Below are 25044 nucleotides of genomic sequence, written 5' to 3' on the forward strand. Positions count from 1 at the left end.
GGGGATTATGGAAACTACAATTCGAGATTCCAGTGCGGACACAGCCAAACCATATCACATGCCATTCTCATCTTTAATCTTTTTTGCATGTCTTGACTCATTCACCACCTATTTCAAATGGCCAACCATACTAACTATTCAGATTTCAGATTCCACATTGCCCTTCTCTTTGCTAACTTCTCTCCTCCACACTCACACACAGTCTGAGTTAGAAGCCTGTTGTATTACTGTAGCTAACATACTACCCTTGTTGAACACTGGCATTGAAGTTGCCTATTTACTGGTCTGAATCTCATACCTTGTGGTAATCTCACCGAGAGAGGTGTATTTGATTGGTCTTGTTCACAATTATACATCTCAGTTTCTGGCACATGGTAAGCATGAAATAAATACTATTAAATGAATAGAGGAGTGAATGAATGAATGAATGAATGACTTTCATGCAGTATCTGTATTAAGTATGCCAGCATGATACTTTGACTTTTTATGTAATGATTGATAGTAATTCTCCAATATACTGCTACTGCAGTAAGCAGAGAAAGAATCTATAACAATATTATGTCTTTTTAAGCAAGCTAGGTAGATCTAAGCAATTGGGAATAGGTGAAATTTCTTGTATAGCAAGGATTAAGAAAATCAGCTTTCTTGATATTTCTAAATTTACCCCTTTATTCCAGAGTCCATCTGGTCTAGTCTTTCTTAAGTTATTAAAAATTCCACAGCAATTCAACAGGAGATTAAGTCCATTGAACATTTGTGCTGGCTCCTCACCCGGGCCTATGGTGCTGGATAGAAGAAAAGTGACAGCTTCAGGACCACACACCTGAAATGGTATTCTTTTTCAATACACACCTGTAACTACACTTTGCCAGAGTGCTTGTGACTGCTTTTCACTGATAGAGTTATGTCAGGCATCCAGCCATATAGATCATGTTAAAAGCTCCAGTGCACTCTTGGCTAAATATTGATGGATTGGATGAGACATCTTTTAACCTTTATTGTGCTTTCCAATTTCTGACATCTGTGAATGACACATTCACAAATTTAACACAATTTTAACTCTGAGATAGACTGGAATGTAAAATATTTGGGGATCTCAGGGCTAGGGAAGGGAAAGAAGATGTTGGAATAAAACAAAAGGACTATGCAGGGAAAGGGACTAGGACGGCAGGGGAATAAGGTTGTCACGTATAATGAAGATTTAGTGCTTCAGCAATAAATCTAATTCAGCTAGAAGAGCATGCTGCCAAAACACTGTGCAAGAAATACCCCCAAGGTATCCAACGGGGTCCTTTTAAACCCTGTTCACTTCACAGTGCATATTTGAACACAGACAGTTGGAGTTCAGAGAGCACACATCTGGGTCACTGTGCAAATCCCCATTCTCCTTTAAAAAAATAAAATACATGCACTCTACCTACCCCAGACTTACTCTATTGCTGAGTCTGCCAAGGAAAACTATTCCATTTTAGAATACAAAAGCCAAAACACAAAGTGGAACCAACCCACATGGAGTCATGCTCTGCTACTTTATGTATCCAAAGAAAGAAAAATATGCAAAGCACAAATTCTCAGATTACTACTCCAACAGATGACTGTACCAAGGTTATTTTTTATTACAATTGTCTCCTCCAATGAGGACCAGAAATCTCCAGAAAATCACGAGCTTTAAAAAGCTATTCAACACCATCTACTTCTCTTGTGCTTAATATAGAATTAAGCTCCATAATCACAGCTTGACATGCCATGCTATTTGTAAATTATTTTTAAGTTCATTGTGATAACTATTAAAAAGAAGGAATTTGTAAGCAGTAGAATGTTACTCCTAAAAGAAAGACTTTATGATTATAAATTAATTTCATCTTATTTTTATATTGTGCCTTGATACTTTAATGTTGGAAAGCAAATATATTCAACTGTTGCATTATTGACATTCTCAAGCCCAACACTTTGTACAGAAGTTACTATATGAAAATATCCTTTCTAGTGTTTAGCTACAAAATATCCTATGTGTTTTCTAAAATCATTCATTTAACGAGAAAACTGTACATAAGCAGGTGCTTGCTAAGAGAGTTCCATGATAATCATTATAGTGACAGGGAAAACCAAGATAAACCAACTAAACTGTTGTTCCTAATAGGGATGATTCAAGGTATAAATTAGTTTAGCACCTCAATCAAGAATTTATACATGTTCTATCTTGGAACGTATTCTCTAACAGGTAATAATGATTTATACATGATAACTCCAGAATTTATATCTCTTAGAAAAAATATGGAAGCCCAAACAATCTTCAATAAACTATACCCCACTCTTCAACCTTTATTTCAAAGGGCTACTATGAATATGAAAACAATGGACTAAAAAGAGCGTAGTCCCCCCACCATTTACATTATTTTTATTTTATTCAAGATTCTGTTTCTGTGAGTGAGGGAGATAATCAAATATTTTGACTTTAAATACATTTACCCTCACTTTTATTTTGCCGTATTTATCAAAAGCTGAGCAGGAAAAAAATAGAGAAACGGGAAATCTAAATTATGATGCCTACCCTTAAGTTGCTTTCTATCAACCTGGGACAAGTTGTTTTTCTTTTTTTTTTTTTTTTGAGACGGAGTCTTGCTCTTTCGCCCAGGCTGGACTGCAGTGGCATTATCTCGGCTTACCGCAAGCTCCACCTCCCAGGTTCACACCATTCTCCTGCCTCAGCCTCCCGAGTAGCTGGGACTACAGGCGCCCGCCACTACGCCCGGCTAATTTTTTGTATTTTTAGTAGAGACGGGGTTTTACCGCGTTAGCCAGGATGGTCTCGATCTCCTGACCTCATGATCCGCCCGCCTCGGCCTCCCAAAGTGCTGGGATTACAGGTGTGACTCACCGTGCCCAGCCAGGACAAGTTGTTTTTTTGTTTTCCTTTTTTTTTTTTCTTTTTTTGCTTTCCCAAGTTGAGAGACACCAAACATAAATACTCGATAAGTTAAATAGCAATATATCTTAGAAGCAACAATCAACAACGTAGAGATGATGCAAAAAAAAAAGTTTAGACAGTAATTGTTGGAAAGGCGATTACTAAAACCACAGTGGACCAGATTTCTCTATGAAATACTTCTGATTTTACTACTTACATAGAACTATTCAAACTGTTATTTGAATTGATTGATACTGTTGATGTGAAAAGTGCCTAAACTATTCTACAATGACTCTACAAATATTTATATATGTAATGAGAACTTGCATCGAGATGTTGTTGATAATAATAATACCTTATCCTTAAAAAACAATGTAGTGTACAGAACAATTTTGACATACCGTATCATATTTTATCTATGTAAAGCACAAAGCATCTACAGTTTGACCTTAGTTGAGGGATGTATTCGTTCATTTTCATGCTGCTATGAAGAAATACCCAAGAGTGGGTAATTTATAAAGAAAAGAGGTTTAATTGATTCAATGTTCCACATGACTGGGGAGGCCTCAGGAAACATACAATCATGGTGGAAGGCACCTCTTCACAGGGCAGCAGGAGAAAGAATGGGAGCTGAGCAAAGGGGGAAAAGCCCCTTCTAAAACCATCACCCCCATGATTCAATTACCTCCCACCAGGTCCCTCCCATAACATGTGGGGATTATGGGAACTACAATTCAAGATGAGATTTGGGTGGGGACACAGCCAAACCATATCAAGAGATGAAGGCTAAGCTTGGGGGAAGTTGAAGCAACTGCCTAAATTTACTTATTCATGGCAGTTTTTATTCAATTCTTGTCTGTTCATTTCTAGTAAAATGTCAGTTCCATTACAGAATTATAAAGCTAATCATAAATCATAAGTTAAACATGATTTATGTAAGACTCAATTACATTTTATGTTTGATGATAATTAAGAGGTGACGACATAATTTTTGAATTATAGTAACTAACATTCATAGGTTACTAAGTTAGGGCTAAGAATATTTTCATATACTACCTCATTAAATCCTTATAGTAATTCTCTAAGTCGGATACTTTGTTTTTTTCTGTTTTTTGTTTGTTCGTTTGTTTTTGAGATGGAGTTTCACTCTTGTCACACAGGCTGGAGTGCAATGGCACCATCTTGGATCACTGCAACCTCCACCTCCTGGGTTCAAGCAATTCTCCTGCCTCAGCCTCCCAAGTAGTTGGAATTATAGGCATGTGCCACCACACCCAGGTAATTTTTGTGTTTTTAGTAGAGAAGGAGTTTCACCATATTGGCCAGGCTGGTCTTGAATGCCTGACCTCAGGTGATCCGCCCACCTTGGCCTCCCAACCTGCTGGGATTACAGTAGTGAGCCACCACCCCTGGCCTAAGGTGGGTACTTTGGATACTCTATTTAACATATGGAAAGACGGGATTAGAGTCAAAATTCCAAACTTGGTCTAAACAGGGTGAAGAGGGTTCCCCTGTGATTATCTATGCATTTTCTGGGTGATACTCTTCATAGCAAAATGAAGACTCTTCAGAGCAAAAAAAATTACTCTTGGGCTGCTATAGATAGATTAAATTTGAGTGTATATCTATCATTATTATGTTGCATAACTTGATGGCTTATCACACACAGGACTGAAGTTAGCCTGTAATCACTTTACCACTTAATACAACAATAAAAGAAATCATGTTCCTATTAAAGTACTGGACAGCTTTAGAAAAGAAGGGTTTCAGACACACATGGAATTCGTACCTGAAGGTATATTTTAACCTTTAGGTTATATGAAGCAAAGGTAGACTGACCTCCAATAAGATAAAACAAAATCAGGCTCTAGATTTTTTTAAATGCTATTTTGGTTGGAGAACACTTTCTAATTCCATCAACTTTGAATTTCCAAAATTAATTCAAATGTTTTTTAAAAGTCGGTTTCTATATCCACAATTTGGCTTAGTTCAATCAAAATGAAATTCACATTAGAAAGCAATGTGCTTTTACCATACTTCTGGCATGTTCTGCTAGGGTTAATTAAGTTATTAGCAGATCTACAGTTGGTAAAATAAAAAAACAAACAGCCTACAATTATTCACACCTAAAGAGAATTCCAGTCCCTGATTTCATATTGTCTAAACAGAAGCTTTTTCTTTCCTGGAGAATTTTCAATGAACTTAGTCTAAATAACTAGAAATGTTCTTAGCTATAACAGAGGTAGGTATATGAGCCAAAAGTTATTTGAAAACATACAGATTTCCTAGCTATATCACTAGAAATTCTTACTCAGAAGTTTTGAAATGGCACTGAAATACTCATATTTTTATAAAGCTCCCTGGCTTTTTTCTTGTGCAACAATCCAGTGTCAATGAGGGGACCTGCATTTGGAAATTCCTGAAGTAGAGCATTTCATTATCCAACAATGCATATGCACTACGAGTTATATTTATAGCAAATAAATCTAACAGGAACAGTTTACAGATAGCATTTTATGGTGGATTAGTTTATAGAAAAGGTGCTATAAATCAAATCTTATTTTAATATGATAAATATTGGGATTATTATTATATTCCTCATCTACAACTCAGTATTAACAGAATTGAACACAAATGCCATATTGAGTCAACTAAAAGTAATTGTCTCTACACTATTTATGTCTTACTTTTAGTTATTTTACTGATAATTAATATAGGGTAGCAGTCATGCCTAAAAACATAGATAAATTAAGGTAATATATAAAAAGACAAAATTAAATAGGTCTCAAACAACTAAACTAAGAAGTTTAGACTCAAATGTAATTAGTAAAGATTCATTTGTAAACAGGAAACTGACATGATTGAACTTGTATTTTAGAAGATAACTAACAAGACAGATCTAAATGGTAGACTTGAAGGGGAAGGGATAAACAGCAAAGGGAACACTTAAGAATTAACAGGCTGGGCTCAGTGGCTCATGCCTGTAATCCCAGCACTTTGGGAGGCCGAGGAAGGAGGATCACCTGAGGTTAGGAGTTCAAGACAAGTCTGGCCAACATGGCAAAACCCAGTCTCTACTAAAAATACAAAAATTAGCCAAGTGCAGTGATGTGTGCCTGTAATCCCAGCTATTCAGGAGGCTGAGACAGGAGAATTGCTTGAACCTAGGAGGCAGAGGTTGCAGTGAGACAATAGGGCACCACTTCATTCCAGCCTGGGAGACAAAGCAAGAATCAGTCTCAAAAAAAAGAGAAAAGAATTAATTGGTGATGAGAGTTCCTCTAGGGATAGAGAGGAAAATAAGAATAATAATAACAATAACTATCATTTAAATAATGCTACCTATTTGCCAAGCAATGTCCTAACAATGTACACATATTAACTCATATAATCTTCACTACCACCCTATGAAGTAGTGTTATCAGTTGGTATTTTCTAGGTAATAACCCCAAATATAGTGCCGTAACACAACCACCATTTATTTAGCACATCATCCTGGCAGTTCTTTTAGGCTTGGCTGAGATCACACATAATCTTTGGTCAGTTGCCAGGTTGGCTGGGGGCTGGCTGAACTAGAATGCTTCAGCTAGGAAGGTTTGTCTCTACTCTGGATGGTCTTTCATTCACCAAAGCCTGAATCCGACTTATTCACATGGTAACCGGGCAAATTTTGAGCAAGCAGAAGCACTCAAGGCCTCTCAAGACCTAGGTTGAGAAAAGACATACTATCATATCTTCCTCACTCTATTAACTAGAGCAGGGCACAGTCCAGCCCAAATTCTAAGGTGGGGAAATCAACTTCATCTCTTGATGATAAGGGCTGCAAAGTCACTTTGCAAAGGGTAAGGATAGAGAGAGGAGGAAAAGATTGTGGCGTTGTTTACAGTCTTCTTTAGTTAGGTATTATTGTTATCATGCCTATTTTGCAGGTAGGTAAACAGAAGCACAGAGTTGTTAGGTAATCTGCTTTAGGTCATTTAGCTAACAGTTCACCAAATAATCCAGCTTTAGTGTCTGTTGTCTAAGAAATTTACTTTTATGTCTCTAAGGTTTTAAGAAATGGAGAATGGTTAGAGAAGTATCAATGAAAAGAATCAACACGATTTAATGATTGATTAGATTGGAAGCAGGGAGTCAGAGAAGGAGTATGAGGATTCAAATTTGGAAAAATAGCGACATTAATAAAAAGTGACAGTACTTATTGATGACACCATCCACAAATTAAGAAATATAAGAACATGATTAAATCCCGGCCAGGGGTAGGAATGAGCTTAATAAAAATGTAGATTTGATCATTTAAGATTGAGCCGTGCTCAGGATATACTGATGGATATGTCCATTGGGCTGCCTGGAGATGGAGTCTTTCACTCAAAACAAAGAGATTAGGATAGAGATACAGATTTGAGCTCTGTTAGTTGAAAGCATAAAACTAGATGAAAAGACACAAAGAGAGTTTAAAGAAGAAGGACAAGGACAAAGTCAGGAGAAGTGTAGAGGCAACGCAGAGGAAAAACAGCCTTTCAAGTAACTTTCTGGTGATTAAAACCAAGAAACAGCAACATAAAAAAAAGGAAGAGTGACATCTCCTCCTACTAATAGAAGTGTAGGTAATTTGTCTCCAACTGAAGACTACTGAACAAACTAGATAAAATATTTTAAAATAAAACAAATCATATCCTTAAATTAGAGAACCAATAAGACATCATAACATTACCATCCAACAATCTAAAATAAGGACAAAGGCCCAGGAAGATAAGAACAGAATTTAGGGTTACTCTACCCTAGGAGAGTTTGACAATTAAAGAGGGAGGTTCTGGAAGATTGAGCTATGGTTTTGACAGCCTCTTGGGAGTAGGAGTACTGTAGTTGAGTCTAGGGCTTACCAAGGAAGATGGCTCTAGTGAATCCTCTTCACTTTGCTTTGGGACTTTGCAAAAGTAGAGAAGACACAGTGAGGACTACATACAAGGTTTTGGAATATCAGACAAAACAAACAGAGAAAGCAGGGAAACAACACTTGAACAGATAGTTCAAAAACACAGTATCTACGTGGCCAAAACATATTTTTAAAGTTTCACTTCACGAGTAATCATCAAAATGCAAATTGAAGACACCAGATACCACCATATACTTGCCAAAGTGACTAAAAATTAAAAGATTTAAAATGCCAAGTTCTGGGAAGGAAGTAGAGTGACAGCAATTTACATACACTTCTGGCCACCGGAAAAAAAGAACGCCATTGATGATCAAGACTTAGGAATGGGAAAGATGCAAGTACACAAGTGGAAGTGTAGCTTTGCAGAGGTGGAATCTGCCTTTTCTATGAGAAGAGAAATGACGGATAAAGATATAGATTGGTTTGAGGCCAAAATGTTGAGAAAGTTTTACCTGAGGAAGTTTAGAATGGGCTCCATGTTCTTTGTTAATATGAGTGAGCCTATTGATAAAAAGGGAGGAAAGCTGGGGTGAGTAGGCATTTTGCAAATATTAAGAAAATGTTGTAATAGCTGTTACAAAGTCTGAAAATAGGATTTTGCTAGGCATATGCAGAAGTGTGGCTGAGAATATTGGGAAACAGGATGATATGAAAACAATGAAATTCAAGTGACTTCAATCTTAATGTTTTAGATTTCTCTGGTCTTAGTAATGTAGTAACCATCTTGATTCATGAAGCACATCAAAGGTACCATTCCAGTTGTCTCTGAGGCCCAATTTCTTCACTTAGAGAGAAATATTTCTACACTGTACTTACTGTAAAAGGATGTTATGTATCTGTTTGGAAACAATCATACCTAGTTATATAGAAAAGTATGCGAAGAAAGTGAAGAAAGAGCACTTACATAGAATTTGAAATAGAGTAGGTAAATTTGACTGTGGAAAGCTGTTTAATCCACATACTTGCCTAGGGACAGTTGGAATTTAAACCATCATAGGCACTCTGACACCTGTGTCACTTAAGCCATCTCAAGCAAAATGGTGCAGGAATTCAAATGTCACTAAACTTTTCCAGCAGGAGAGATCCAACCAACTTCACTTGTAGACCATTCTAGTTTCTCCCAATTCTCATGGCCCAGGCATACTTTCTTATATGTTTCATGGTCTATTTAACTTTCCCTGAAGTCTGGAAAACCTCAAAAGCATGTTGACAGCAAGGATTTTTAAAAGTCTTTCTTACAACAGCCAAAACTATAGCTCATAGCCTGCATAGAAACCTTGATTTTTACAAGCAAACCGGTGATATAGGTTTCCCTTCTACACTCAATTAGATTCCCTCATTTCAATTCAGCTTTGCATATGAGTTTTACAAAGCTGAGTTTGACAAGGTGAAATGTTGTTAAGGAACTAAAAGTCAGGATCATGGAAACACCTCACCGGAGATATATTTAATTAAAATGACTCATCCTAAGAGCAAAAAAACAGGTAATTTCGTAGATTGTCCCCCAAACTTTGTTCTCTCCTTACCACCAAACCTCATGTGGTCTTAAAAAAAAAAAAAGGTCTTGACCCAGAGTACATAGAATGTGGAAAGGCGTGGTACCCTTTTGCATTTTGTTATTCATCGAAACACCAGAACAGGCAGGACAAAGTTTGCAAGCCCAGGAGAGACTTTCAACAGCAACCTTATCTTGTTTGAAAATTTGCTCTGAGGTCACATGGAGCAAGCGAGAGCTCAGCTGACAGTGTGTCGAAAAGCCTCCAGCTAGCGAAAGAAAGCATCCTTGAGTGCAAAAAGGTCGAGCATCTTTGGAAGTGGGTAAATTGGAACAATATGATATGCCTTGTGTAAAAACATATTCCATTTTCTAACTTTGCAAAAACAGTTCGTGGTCTGGATTCCTAGCAGTAGAGAAAATGAAAATCAATAAACGTAAGCTAATGTCAGGAGTGCTAAACTCTTTTGTCTTGTTATTGGTGGCAGTGTTAAAAATAAAAATAACATAAACACATGCCTAAATAAATAAATAGCAGTTCCTTCAAAAACCTGAAAACTTTGGACAAGCCCAAAGAGCATGTACGTACTGTCCAATTCAAGGGAATCAGGACAGTATTGGATTTCACAGATAGCACCACAGACAGCTATTAAAGTCTAATCCAGTGTCACATTTCTGCCCAATGCTTGCTAACTACCAGCCCAATTTGCTGGCTTCACTCACTCTGTGTTTCTTCATTGTTTCAAGCCAGGCAGAGACTTATCTTAATAATGGGTCAATCCTCAGCCAAATGTGTTCAACTGAAGGCCACCATGGGAGAATGGCAGGATATTGTCTTTCCAACAGCAAGTGAACTGCAGGCAGCTTAAGGCAATATCCATTTCACTATAATGCTGGTTTATGTTACAGCCCTTTTCAAACTTCTAATTGCCCTGTATTGCTGACATTTATATACATGCCCTATTTTAAATGAAAACACAACACTGAGGTCAGAAGGAGGTTCTGGGACAGCAGAGACCCCAGGTGAAACCAAAGGGGGAAATTACGTTAAAACTTCTAAATGCCAAACATGTTTGAGAAAAAGAGGAAAAAAAATAAAGTCTTAGGGCAGAAAAAACATTAATCATGGCCCCACGGTATAAATTAATAATAGCTATATTTAATACTGCTATGTAAACTTTCTATGGTTGGATTATATAAATTTTAAATGAAAGTAAATATTATTCATTTGGCATGGTAAGTCTGGTAAGTCTCAGCTTATATAGAATAACTTTGAATATGATTTTTTCCCCTCCAAATTTCACTTTTATTTGTCAAAAGCAAACTGGGTTTCTCGGCTGCTTTTGGCAATCACTATATGTTATGAATCTTTCAGATCATTCTACAAGTCACAATTAATAAAATAATATTTCGCATTTACATACAGCTTTTCACCTAGTATCTCATACTGTTTTAAAAGCAATAAATCATTCATTTCAGAATTGCAACTAAAGAGTCTCAAGTGTTGTTCTAACAAGTAATTTCTTCCAAGTAGCTTCAGAAGAAGCAACGCATATATAGGCTATAATCATTTTCATTTGTTTATTCATATATTCATTCACCGAGTTATTGATTCATTGATTCATATCCTGAACAAACATGTATTGCATGTGCATGTGTACTTAACATTCTGTAGATGTAAAGCTATATAAATAAGTGTTAAAGAGCTTACATTCTAGTTGGGTTCTGGTTAAGAGACTGTTTAAGATACAACTCTGAATGACCTGAACAAATTATTTCAATACTATGTTCTTTTAATCTCTCCGTGAACATCTTATTGAGGACTAATACATTAAGAAGTAGTCACACCGATGTTTTTCTTTTTATATAAGGTATATATATTCAAAGAAAAAACTTAGAAACAAAGAAAAAATCATTTAAAATTTAATAATTACCATTATTTCTGCTACACAGAGATAAACATTGTTAATAATTTGGCATATACATTTCTTGTCTGTTTTAAATTTTTCTACGTCTATATAAAATATATTTACTTTTTATATACATAAGATTACAGCACACATATTGATGATTTATAACTGACTTTTAAAAATTTATAAATATATTATAAATATTTTCCCATGTCATTGAATTTTAGGTTTCAGTGTACTGAAGTCGTGGCTTTTGCTTATAGTTCTGTTTCAAATTGTGAAAGAACACTAGGTCACTAATCAAATTTATATGAAGAAACAAAAGGCACAAATACAGTCAAATACAAGATAAATATAAAAGACAATGTAACTGTATTTTGTATTTGTAATGCCTTTTCCCTCTGATTTAGAAACAACTACAAAATGGAATCATTATAGGTCGAAGGTGATGGGTACACAATATGTAATATGTAACTGTAACTATAAGAGCATAAAAGAGCAGGAAAACAGAGCTACACAGAAGCAATGTTTTTGTGTATTGTCAAAATTAAATTGGCATTAATCTGAACAAAACTGTTACAAATTTTTAAAAAATCATACTAAGCTCCAAGGCAGCCATTAAGAAAATATCTCAAAAACATATTGTAAGAAAAACAAAGGAATTAAAATGGTACACTAGAAAATATCTACTTAACACAAAAGAGGGTAGTAATAAAGAATTGAGGAGAAAAAATATATAACACATTTAGAAAATAAATGGCAAATGTAAATTCTACCTTATCGGTAATTAGATTAAATGTAAATGGATTAAACTCTCTAATCAAAAAGAAGAGCTTACCAAAATGGTATAAATAACTAAATAAATAAACCAACTCTGTCAAAAAGAGACTCATTCTAGATTCACTCATAAGTAGATTAAAAGTAAAAAGATGGGCAAAGATACATCTTGCAAATAGTGTAAAAAATGAAGTGACTACATTAATAGGAGACAAAATAGATTTTAAGCAAGAATTGTTACCAGAGACAAAGGACATTTTATAATAATAAAAATGTCAATCTATTAAGAAGATATGGTAATTATTAGGTTATTGCAAAAGTAATTGAGGTTTTTGCCATTACTTTTAATGTTTTTGTGTACTGTCAAAATTAAATTGGCATTATTCTGAATAAAACTGTTATAAATTAAAATTTTATGGTAAGCTCCAAGGCAGCCATTATTAAAATATCTTAACAACATTGGAAGAGAAACAAAAAAATTAAAATGGTACACTAGAAAATATCTACTTAACACAAAATAAAGCAGTAATGAAAACTTGAGGGGAAAAACGATATAACACTTTTAATGACAAAAAACACAATTACTTTTGCTTCAATCTAATATAAACATAAATGCACCTAGCAACAGATTTCCAAAGTACATGAAGCAAAAACAGACTAAATTGAAGAGAGAAATAGACCATTCAACAATAAGAATAGGAAACTTAAATATGTTACTGTTGGGGCTCAGAAAATGTAACCACAAAGTATCATGCTTTGCTACGCTGAGTACATTGAACTGAAGGACATTAGAAGGACTTCAGAAGCAAAGTCCCTTTCTGACCTTCTTCTGACCTTCTTTCTTTCTTTCTTTTTTTTTTTTTTTTGAGACGGAGTCTCGCTCTGTCGCCCAGGCCGGACTGCGGACTGCATTGGCGCAATCTCGGCTCACTGCAAACTCCGCTTCCCGGGTTCACGCCATTCTCCTGCCTCAGCCTCCCGAGTAGCTGGGACTACAGGCGCCCGCCACCGCGCCCGGCTAATTTTTTGTATTTTTAGTAGAGACGGGGTTTCACCTTGTTAGCCAGGATGGTCTCGATCTCCTGACCTCATGATCCACCCGCCTTGGCCTCCCAAAGTGCTGGGATTACAGGCGTGAGCCACCGCGCCCGGCCTTCTGACCTTCTTTCTAATGCTCCCCTTTCTCTCTCAAGACAGGTCATAAAAACTGTAGTTTATCTTCCCTTAAGGCAGGTCATAGAAACTAGAACCCCTCTTCCCCAAAGCCAGCCAGGAAACCTAGAAATATTACTCTAACCTTTTCCCATCTTTCTGTGAGAGCTGGCCATAATGAAATTCTCTGACCTACCTTTTCTAATAGTAGGTCATAACACCCTCGTTCCAGAAGAAGTTCTCCCCTATACCTGGGAGGAAGAAATGCTACACAGAGAGGTCAAAAAGAATCTGAAGAGACAAGCCTTGCTAGATTTCCCCACTCTGTTACTATTAGATCATTCACTTTTTTGTCCAATTACATTTCTACATGGCTGTTGATTCTTCAACAAACCTAACTATACAAATGGACTGTTTTCCCTCAGCCTTCATCTCTGAAGGCTCTCATGTCACATAAAACTTTAAGTATATTTGCTATACTTTTCTCTTGTTAACTTGCCTTTGTTATATGAGAGTCAGCAGTGACCATTATGATGGGTAAGGAAAGGTATCACACCTTTCTGCCCCTACACAAGTTTCAATAATAGATAGAACAACTAAACAGAATATCAGCAAAGAAATAGAAGACTTGGACAATGCTATAAACCAACTAGGCCTAACAGACATTTATAGAATAAGTCACTCCAAACAGCAAAATACACATTCTTCTTGATAGTATATGCAACATTTTCCAGGATAGACTGTATGCTAGGCTATAAAACAAGTCTCAATAAATCTAAAAGGATTAGAATAATACACAGTATCTTCTCTGTCCATAATGGAATAAAATTAGGAATCAATAACAGAAGAAAACTTGAGAAATTTACAAATATATGTGGAAATTAAACATGCTCCTAAATAATCAATGAGTCAAAAAAGAAATCATAAGGGTAAGTGGAAAATACTATAGGATGTATGCAAATGAAAATAAAACCTATCAAAACTTATGAGATTAAAAAAAATGCCTAAAGGAAACTGCATTCCTGTAAATGCCTACATTGAAAAAGAAGACAGATGCAAATCAATCTTAACCTTTTACTTTATGAAATTGAAAAAAAAAAAGACCAAGCTAAACCCAAAGCAAGTAGAAGAAATAAAATAAAGAAAAGAGCAGAAATAAACAAAATAGAGAATAGAAAAATGATACGGAAAATCAATGAAACCAAAAGTTATTTTTTGAAGCTATCAACATAATTGACAAAACTTTTGCTAAACTAACAGAAAAAGAAAGTGACAAGACTCAAATTACTAAAATCATGTATGAAGGAGAAGACCTTAAAGAAATTTTTAAAAATATATTCTGAGAAAACTCTATGAACTTTTTATACCAACAAATTACATAACCTAGATTAAATGTGCAAAATTCTAGAAAGACACAAACCTCAAAAATTGATTGAAGAAAATATTGCAAATTTGAATAGACTTATTACTATTAAGATTGAGTTTGAATCAGTAATCTTAAATTTAAAAAACTTCCCACAAACAAAGTTCAGGACCAGATGACTTTAATGATTAGTTATACCAACATTTAAAGAATTAACACCAATCTTTCTAAAAGTTTTCCCAAAAATAGAAGAGAAGGAGGAAATACTATCTCATTCTATGAAGTCGTTATTGCCCTGACACAAAAATCAAACAGTTATCACAAGGAAAGAAAATCACAGACCTAAATCCCTCATGAATATAGGTTCAACAATCCTTAACAAAATAATGAAAAACTAAATCCAACAACATATAAAAAGTGCTGTGGATCATGATCAAATTCGATTTAGCCTAGGAATGCAAAGTTGTTTCATACAATAAAACTAATCAATGTAATATACTATATTAATCGAAAAAAGAAGAAAACACTTGATCATCTCAATAGATGTATAAAAAGCATTTGGCAAGGTCTAACATCTTTTCAACTCTACAAGCTACAAATGGGAAAGACGTCCTCAATGTAACAAAGGGAATTCATAGAGAATGTATAGTTTACATCATACTTAATGGTTAAAGACAAAAAGATTTCTTCATAAAAGACTGAAGGGTTTCCACATAAGACAAAGACGTCCACTTTCCCCACTGGTATTTAACATTTTATGGGAGGTTACACTAGAACATTTAGATAGGAAAAAGACATAAAGGCATTCAGACTGGGAAAAAAAGAAGTAAAATTTTCTGTATTTGTTAATGACATGATCTTATATATACAAAACTTTAAAGAATTCACACATAAACACATGAACATTCAAAACTGCTGGAGTTAATAAGAGTTCAGCAATTTTGGTTTCAGGATAGATCAATATACAAAAATCAGTTGTATTTCTATATTAATAAATGTTCCAAAAGTGAAAATAGGAAAAAACATTTATAGTAGCATCAAAAGAATAAAATACTTAGGAATACATCTAACAAAACAAGTTTAAGACTTGTAGACTAAAAACTATAAAACCTTGTTTAAAAAATTTTAAAGAAGACCTAAGTAAATGGAAAGGCATACTATGTTCTTAGATTGGAAAATTTAATATTTTTAAGATCATAATACTCCCCAAATTGATCTTTATATTGATTGCAATCTCTTTTAAACTTCCAGTTGCTTTTCTTAGAAAAAATGGACAAAGTGATCTCAAAATGTATATGAAATGGAATGAATCCAGAAGAGCCAAAATAATCTTGAAAAAGGATGAACAAAATTAAAAGACTCGCAATTCTTAATTTGAAAAGCCACCAAAAGCCTATAGCAATCAAGAAAGTATGGTATAGGAATAAGGCTAGACAATACATCAATGGAATAGAATCGAGAGTCTAAAAAGAAACCTTTGTGTTTGCAGCCAAGTGAATTTCAACAAGGATGTCAACACCAGTCAATGGGAACAAGAATAATCCTTTCAATACATGATGCTGTGACAACTGTGTGTCCCTATGCAAAAGATAAATTTATTCCCCTACCTCACACCACATGCAAAATTTAACTCAAAATACATCAAAGACCTAAATGTAAGAGTTGAAATTATAAAACACTTAGAAGAAAAGAGGTATAAATTTTTGTGACCTGGGATTAGACAAGAGTTTCTTAGATATAACACAAAAAACCTTCAAGAAACCAAAGAAAAATATATAGAAATTGGACTTCATCCAAAAAAAATTATTCAAATGGAAATATAATTTGTAGTATGATTTCCTAGTATGGTGTAAGATGGCGTATTATTGTGGTTTTAACTTGCATTTCTCTGATGATTAGTGATATTGAATTTTATTTTATGTTTGTTCATCATTTGAATGTCTTTTTTTGAGAAATATCTGTTCATATACTTTGCCTACTTTTTAATTGGTTCTTTGTTTTTTTCTTGTTGAGTTGTTTGAGTTTCTTGTAGATTTTGGAAAAACTCTTCTGGACAATGGCCTCGACAAAGAATTTATGACTACGACCTCAAAAACAAATACACAAATTGGACAAATGGACAAAAGGGACTTAATTAAACTAAAGAGATTCTACACAGCAAAAGAAAGTCAGCAGCGTAAACAGGCAACTTACGAATAGGAAAAAATATTTGCAAACTATACATCTGACAAAGGACTAATATTCAGAATCTATAAGGAACTTAAATCAACAAGAAAATACAACTCATTAAAAGTGAGCAAATGACATGAACAGACACTTCTGAAAAGAAGACACACAAGTGGCCAACAAACATGTTTTAAAAATGCTCAAACTAATTATAAGAGAAATGCAAAAGAAAACCACTATGAGACATCTTACACTATTGTTGAATGGCTATCATTAAAAAGTCAAAAAATAATAGATGTTGAGGAGGATATGGAGAAAAGAAAACGTATACAGTGTTAGGAATGTAAATTAGTTCAACTCCTGTGAAAAACAGTATAAAGATTTCTCAAAGAACTAAAAATAGAACTATTATTCAACCTAGCAACCCTATTACTGGATATCTACCCAATGGAAAAGAAATTATTTTATCAAAAAGATATCTGCACTCATATGTTTATTGTAGCACTATTCACAATAGCAGAGTCATGGAATCAACCTAAGCATCCCTCATGAGATGACTGGATACAGAAAATGTGGTATATAGGTTCCGAGCAAGATGGCCAAATAGGAACAGCTACGGTCTGCAGCTCCCAGTGAGACCAACGCAGAACGCGGGTGATTTCTGCATTTCCAACTGAGGAGTTTACTGGTGTTTGTTTGTTTGTTTGTTTGTTTTTACCTGAGTGGCACCTGGAACCTCAGCGAGACAGAACCTTTCACTCCCCTGGAAAGGGTGTGAAGCCAGGGAGCCAAGTGGTCTTGCTCAGCAGGTCCCACCCACATAGAGCCCAGCAAGCTAAGATCCACTGGCAGGAAATTCTTGCTGCCTCACAGCAGTCTGAAGTCGACCTGGGACACTCCAGCTTGGTGAGGGGAGGGGCATCCGCCATTACTGAGGCTTCAGTAGGTGGTTTTCCCCTCACAGCGTAAACAAACACCACAAGAAGGTTGGACTGGGTGCAGCCCACCACAGTGCAGCAAAGCCACTGTAGCCAGACTGCCTGTCTAGATTCCTCCTCTCTGGGCAGGGCATCTCTGAAAGAAAGGCAGCTCATTGAGAGGAGCAACCCCAAGTACATAATCATCAGATTCACCAAGTTTGAAACAGGCAGCCAGAGAGAAAGGTCAGGCTACCCACAAAGGGAAGCCCATCAGACTAACAGGGGATCTTTCTGCAGAAACCCTACAAGCCAGAAGAGTGGGGGGCCAATATTCAACATTCTTAAAGAAAAGAATTTTGAACCCAGAATTTCATATCCAGCCAAACTAAGCTTCATAAGTGAAGGAGAAATAAAATCCTTTACAGACAAGCAAATGCTGAGGGATTTTGTCACCACCAGGCCTGCCTTACAAGACTCCAGAAGGAAGCACTAAATATGGAAAAGAAAAAAAATACCGGTACTAGCCACTGCAAAAACATACCAGAATATAAACACCAATGACACTATGAAGAAACCGCATCAACTAATGTGCAAAATAACCAGCTAGCATCATGATGACAGGATCAAATTCACAGATATCAATATTAACCTTAAATGTAAATGGACTAAATGCCCCAATTAAAAGACACAGACTGGCAAATTGGATAGAGTCAAGACCCACTGGTGTTGCTGTATCAGGAGACCCATCTCATGTGCAAATACACACATAGGTTCAAAATAAAGGGATGGAGGAATATTTACCAAGCAAATGGAAAGAAAAAAAAAAGCAGGGGTTACAATTCTAGTCTCTGATAAAACAGACTTTAAACCAACAAAGATCAAAAGAGACAGAGAAGGTCATTACTTAATGATAAAGGGATCCATGAAACAAGAAGAGCTAACTATCCTAAATATATCTGCACCCAATACAGGAGCACCCAGATTCATAAAGCAAGTTCTTAGACACCTACAAAGAGACTTAGCCTCCCACACAATAATAGTGGGAGACACTAACACCCCCCTGTCAATATTAGACAAATCAACAAGACAGAAAATTAACAAGGATACTCAGGACTTGAACTTAACTCTGGACCAAGTGGACCTGATAGACATCTACAGAACTCTCCACCCCAAATCAACAGAATATACAATTTTCTCAGCACCACATAGTACTTATTCTAAAATTGACCATATAATTGGAAGTAAAACACTTCTCAGCAGATATAAAGGAACAAAATTCATAAAAACAGTCTCTCAGACCACAGTGCAATCAAATTAGAACTCAGGATTAAGAAACTCACTGAAAACCATACAAATATATGGAAACTGAACAACCTGCTCCTGAATGACTACTGGGTAAATAACAAACTTAAGGCAGAAATAATTAAGTTCTTTGAAACCAATAAGAACAAAGACACAATGTACCAGAATCTCTGGGACACAAGTAAAGCAGTGTTTAGGGGGAAATTTATAGCAATAAATGTCCACAAGAGAAAGCAGGAAAGATCTAAAATGGACAACCTAGCATTACAATTAAAAGAACTAGAGAAGCAAGAGCAAAAAATTCAAAAGCAAGCAGAAGGCAAGAAATAACTAAGATCAGCACAGAACTGAAGAAGAAGAGACATGAAAAACCATTCAAAAAACAGTGAATCCAGGAGCTGGATTTTTGAAAAGATTAACAAAATAGATAGACCACTAGCTAGACTAATAAAGAAGAAAAGAGAAAAGAATCAAATAGACAGAATAAAAAATGATAAAGGATCACCACTGATCCCACATAAATACAAACCATCATCAGAAAATACTATAAACACCTCTAAGCAAATAAACTAGACAATCTATAGGAAATGGATAAATTCCTGGACACATACACCCTCCCAAAACTAAACCAGGAAGAAATCGAATCCCTGAATAGACCAATAACAAGTTCTGAAACTGAGGCAGTAATTAATAGCCTACCAATCAAAAAAAGCCCAGGGCCAGATGGATTCACAGCCGAATTCTACCAGAGGTACAAAGAGGAACTGGTACCATTCCTTCTGAAACTACTCCAAACAGTAGAAAAAGAGGGATTCCTCCCTAACTCATTTTATGAGGCCAGGATCATCCTGATACCAAAACCTGGCAGAGACACAACAAAAAAGAAAATTTTAGGCCAATATCCCTGATGAACATCAATGCAAAAATCCTCAATAAAATACTGGCAAACCGAATCCAGCAGCACATCAAAAAACTTTTCCACCAAGATCAAATCGGCTTCATCCGTGGGATGCAAGGCTGGTTCAACATACACAAATCAATAAATGTAATCCAGCACATAAACAGAACCAATGACAAAAACCACATGATTATCTCAATAGATGCAGAGAAAGCCTTCAATAAAACTCAACATCCCTTCATGCTAAAAACACTCAATAAACTAGGTATTGATGGAACATATCTCAAAATAATAAGAGGTATTATGACAAACCCACAGCCAATATCATACTGAATGGGCAAAAGCTGGAAGCATTTTCTTTGAAAACCAGCACAAGACAAAGATGTCCTCTCTCACCACTCCTATTCACATAGTATTGAAAATTCTGGCCAGGCCGATTAGTCAAGAGAAAGAAATAAGGTGTATTCAAACAGGAAGAGAGGAAGTCAAATTATCCCTGTTTGCAGATGATGTGATTGTATATTTAGAAAACTCCATCATCTCACCCCCAAAACTCCTTAAACTGATAAGCAACTTCAGCAAATATCAGGATACAAAATCAATGTGCAAAAATCACAAGCATTCCTATACACCAATAAGAGACAAACAGAGAGCCAAATCATGAATGAACTCACATTCATAATTGCTACAAAGAGAATAAAATACCTAGGAATACAACTTACAAGGGATGTGAAGGACGTCTTCAAGGAGAACTACAAACCACTGCTCAAGGAAGTAAGAGAGGACACAAACAGATGGAAAAACATTCCATGCTCATGGATAAGAAGAATCAATGTTGTGAGAATGGCCATATTGTCCAAAGTAATTTATAGGTTCAATGCTATTCCCATCAAGCTACCATTGGCTTTATTCACAGAATTAGAAAAAAATTGGTTTAAATTTCATACGGAACAAAAAAGAGCCAGTATAGCCAAGCCAATCCTAAGCAAAAAGAACAAGGCTGGAGGTACCACACTACCTGACTTCAAACTATACTAGAAGGCTACAGTAAGCAAAATAGCTTGGTACTGGTACCAAAACAGATATATAGACCAATGGAACAGAACAGAGGCCTCAGAAATAACACCACACATCTACAACCATTTGATCTTTGACAAACCTGATAAAAACAATCAATGGGGAAAGGATTCCCTATTTTATGAATGGTGTTGGGAAAACTGGCTAGCCATATGCAGAAAACTGAAACTGGACCCCTTCCTTACACCTTATACAAAAATTAACTCATGATATATTATAGACTTAAAGTAACACCTAAAACCATAAAAACCCTAGTAGAAAACCTAGGAAATGCCATTCAGGACATAGGCAGGGGCAAAGACTTCATGACCAAAACACCAAAAGCAACAGCAACAAAAGCCAAAATTGACAAATGGGATCTAATTAAACTAAAGAGCTTCTGCACAGCAAAAGAAACTATCATCAGAGTGAACAGGAAACCTACAGAATGGGAGAAAAATTTTGCAATCTTTCCATCTGACAAAGGGCTAATATCCAGAATCTACAAGAAACCTAAACAAATTTACAAGAAAAAAACAAAGAACACATCAAAAAGTAGGCAAAGGATATGAACAGACACTTCTCAAAAGAAGACATTTATGCAGTCAACAGACATATGAATAAAAGCTCATCATCACTGGTCATTAGAGAAATGCAAATCAAAACCAAAATGTGATACCATCTCATGCTAGTTAGGATGGCAATCATTAAAAAGGCAAGAGACAACAGATGCTGGAGAGGATGTGGAGAAATAGGAACATTTTTACACTATTGGCAGGAGAGTAATTAGTTCAACCATTGTGGAAGACAGTGTAGCAATTCCTCAAGGATCTAGAACCAGAAATATCATTTGACTCAGCAATCCTATTACTGAGCTATACCCAAAGGATTATAAATCATTCTACTATAAAGACACATGCACATGTAAGTCTATTGCAGCAATGTTCACAATAGCAAAGACTTGGAACCAACCCAAATGCCCATCAATGATAGACTGGATAAAGAAAATGTGGCACATATACTTTATATTCCATATGCATGGAATACTTTTATATTCCATATGCATGGAATACTATGCAGCCATGAAAAAGGATGAGTTCATGTCCTTTGCAGGGACATGGATGAAGCTGGAAACCATCACTTTCAGCAAACTAACACAGGAACAGAAAATCAAGCACCACATGTTCTTACTCATAAGTGGGAGTTGAACAGTGAGAACATATGGACACAGGGAGGGGAACATCACACACTGGGGCCTGTCCGGGAGTGGGGGGCAAGGGAAGGGATAGCATTAGGAAAAATACTTAATGTAGATGATGGATTGATGTGTGCAGCAAACCACCATGGCATATGTATACCTATGTAACAAACCTGCAGGTTCCGCACATGTATCCCAGAACTTAAAGTATAGTAAAATAAAAAATAAAAATAAAAATGGCAGACACAAATACAAAATGCCTTTTGTTATATAGGAAGATTTTGATGTATATAATTATATTTTATGATTTTATTGAACATTAAAAAAAGAAAGAAAAAGATAATGTGGTATATACACACCATGGAATACTATGCAGCCATAAAACAGAATGAAATCATGTCCTTCACAGCAAAATGGGTGGAACAGGAGGCCATTATCCTAAGTGAAATAACTCAGAAACAGAAAATAAAATATTGCATGTTCTCACTTATAAGTAGGAGCTAAACAATGTGTACAAATTGATACAAAAATGGAAATAATAGACAATGGGGACTCCAAAAAGGGGAAGGTTGGGAGAGCGGTAAGGGTTGAAAAATTATCTGTCTGGTACAATGTTCACTATTTGGATGATGGATTCACTAGAAGCCCAAACCTCATCATTAGGCAATATATCCACGTAACACACCTGCACACGTAGCCCCCCATATCTAACATTTTTAATAAAGAGAGTGATCTATCAGAATTCTATTGGCATAGCTTTATTTTATCAAGATACCTCGAATATAAAGTTTAAAAAGCAGATACACTTTCCTTGAGGAAGTAGAAAGCCATTTTCTCAAAAACATTTTACTTCACGTTAATTGTCCCATTTAGTATAGTACCTAATAAAGGGTAATAGAATTTGCAACAGGAAAGTAGTTCTGCTTATCTAACATTTAGAATCAGAAAATCTCTGTGGATAATAATCTATTTTATTTGTATTCTCTCTGTAAAATATCATAATCCCAAATATCTTTAAATTCTATTTCAAAGTGCAAATGAAAACATGCCCTTGGCTATTATTGTTTTATAAAATGTCTATTGTTCATAAGACACAAAAGAGTTCTTCTAAGTCACCAACAGTTTATTATATGTCATAACTTTAGTTGAAGTGTCATATTTGCTTAAAGCATTGCTATGTGCATCATCCAAATGTTCCTTCCTTTCATCCTTTCTGAACTCTTTATAGACTGCCATCAAAGTACTTAGGCCTGGCACGGTTGCTCATGTCTGTAATCCTAGCACTTCGAGAGGCCGAGGTGGCAGACTCTCTTGAGTCCAGGATTTCAAGACCAGCCTGGGTGACATGGCGAGAGCTCATCTCTACTAAAAATGCAAAAAAAAAAAAAAAAAAAAAAAAAATTAGCAGGGCATGGTGGCACATGCCTGTAGTCTCATTTACTCAGGAGGCTGAGGTTAGAGGATTGCTTGAGCCTGGGAAGCAGAGGTTGCCGTGAGCCAAGATTACCTTACTGCACACCAGCTTGGGGAACACAGCGAGACCCTGTCTCAAAAAAAACAAACAACAACAACAACAACAACAAAAACCCTCATATTACATATCTAATATTGGCTTCCACAACTGGTTCCTGAGCTTCCTGAGGTCAGAGATTCTATCTCTTCTGCCTCTGTATCCCCAGTGTCAGTTACCTGGCAGGTCTTCAACTAATAGGTGCTAAATAGTCATGCATGAATGAATGAGTAGGTGGACAAATGGGTGGATGAAAGAAAAAAAAATATTTAAATAGTAAGGTAATCTTGGCTCATGCTTTTCTCTGTAAATGTGGGTGAATAAAATTGTTAAGTAAAAAGAATTAAAATTTATTTTTGTTAGTAATATACATTACCTAAAATTACTTACCTTATTACCAAAACAAAGTATTAACTAGATCTTAATTTGATAAGAACTAAATTTTGCTGTTAATCTCAAAGTGCAGGTAAAGGTAACCTTAAATCAAATGTAAACAGAAAGCAGAGACTGAGATTCAATAATTCACCTTCTCCTTGGAAGTAGAAGCTGGGATGAGAATAAGGACTACTGGGTGGAGAAGTCCATGGAAAACATCTGCCAGTAGTGTTTCAAAGAGTGAAGAGGGGACTTATTGTGAGTGCTATTGTCAAAGCCCCCAAAGCACAACATCAATGAAGTACTATTTATTTTTTCTATAGTCAATAGATCAAAAGCCTATGGAGCAGTATGATCTGCTCTTTGTAAGGAGAAAAGGTCTATCCAGAGAAATGGAGAGCACATCTGGAAATATCTGTCTATGGAGCTGCTTGAAAAAAATCACCATGTAGCAGCAATAGGAGAAACATCTGTGCAGTGTGCAGCAAACCAGTCAAGGAAGGAAGCTGCTATGCGAAGAGACCACATAATCAAGACAAAGACCAGGGTGGAGACAAGCACCCCTTGAATGACAAATCTTCCTAGATTCCATTTTTAACCACATGTAATCAGTAAGAATGATTTTCTTTTTCAAAGTATTTATATTAGCAGCACCTGCTCCAGGTGTAGCAGGGCAAAGGCAGAACACAATATCTTAAGGTGATTACTTAAAGACATTTCTATACATCACTGAAGAGCAGAATCTGCATGTTATATGTTCACTGCAAAGTTCTAAATATTAATTATTTTAAAATCATGCATTAGAGAAGCTCATAAACATGGATTTTAACCCAAAGTACCTTAAACGTGGTTTTCTTATACAACTTATTTACATGAGCTTTTAATCAAAAGTAGTGTGAAGACAATTTTTTTATCAAAACTAACACCAATTCAGCAATTTTTTAAAAAACATGGTTTTGTTTTGTTACATGTGAGTTAGTGTCATCACACTAGTTTCAAAAAATAAGTGTGCATGTGAATATTCAGTTGCATACTCTTTAAAAGACAAATTCACTAGATTATTGCTCATATTCCTAAT

General features: G+C 35.7%; 1 long non-coding RNA gene across 7 annotated transcripts in view, besides 1 other annotated feature; it reads right to left on the reverse strand.

Annotated features, from left to right (window-relative positions):
* LOC105377989 (uncharacterized) overlaps positions 1-25044 on the reverse strand; it is a 347578-nt gene that overhangs the window by 101093 nt on the left and 221441 nt on the right. The window lies entirely within an intron of this gene.
* Positions 9866-10436: an enhancer, noted in NCBI's record as "OCT4-NANOG hESC enhancer chr6:127297370-127297940 (GRCh37/hg19 assembly coordinates)". NCBI's record gives its function as "activates a minimal SCP1, AML or CMV promoter by ChIP-STARR-seq in naive H9 embryonic stem cells {active_cell/tissue: H9 hESC(naive)}" and the evidence as "EXISTENCE:reporter gene assay evidence [ECO:0000049][PMID:30033119]".

Source organism: Homo sapiens, chromosome 6 (assembly GCF_000001405.40).
Source record: "Homo sapiens chromosome 6, GRCh38.p14 Primary Assembly".
Taxonomy (NCBI): domain Eukaryota; kingdom Metazoa; phylum Chordata; class Mammalia; order Primates; family Hominidae; genus Homo; species Homo sapiens.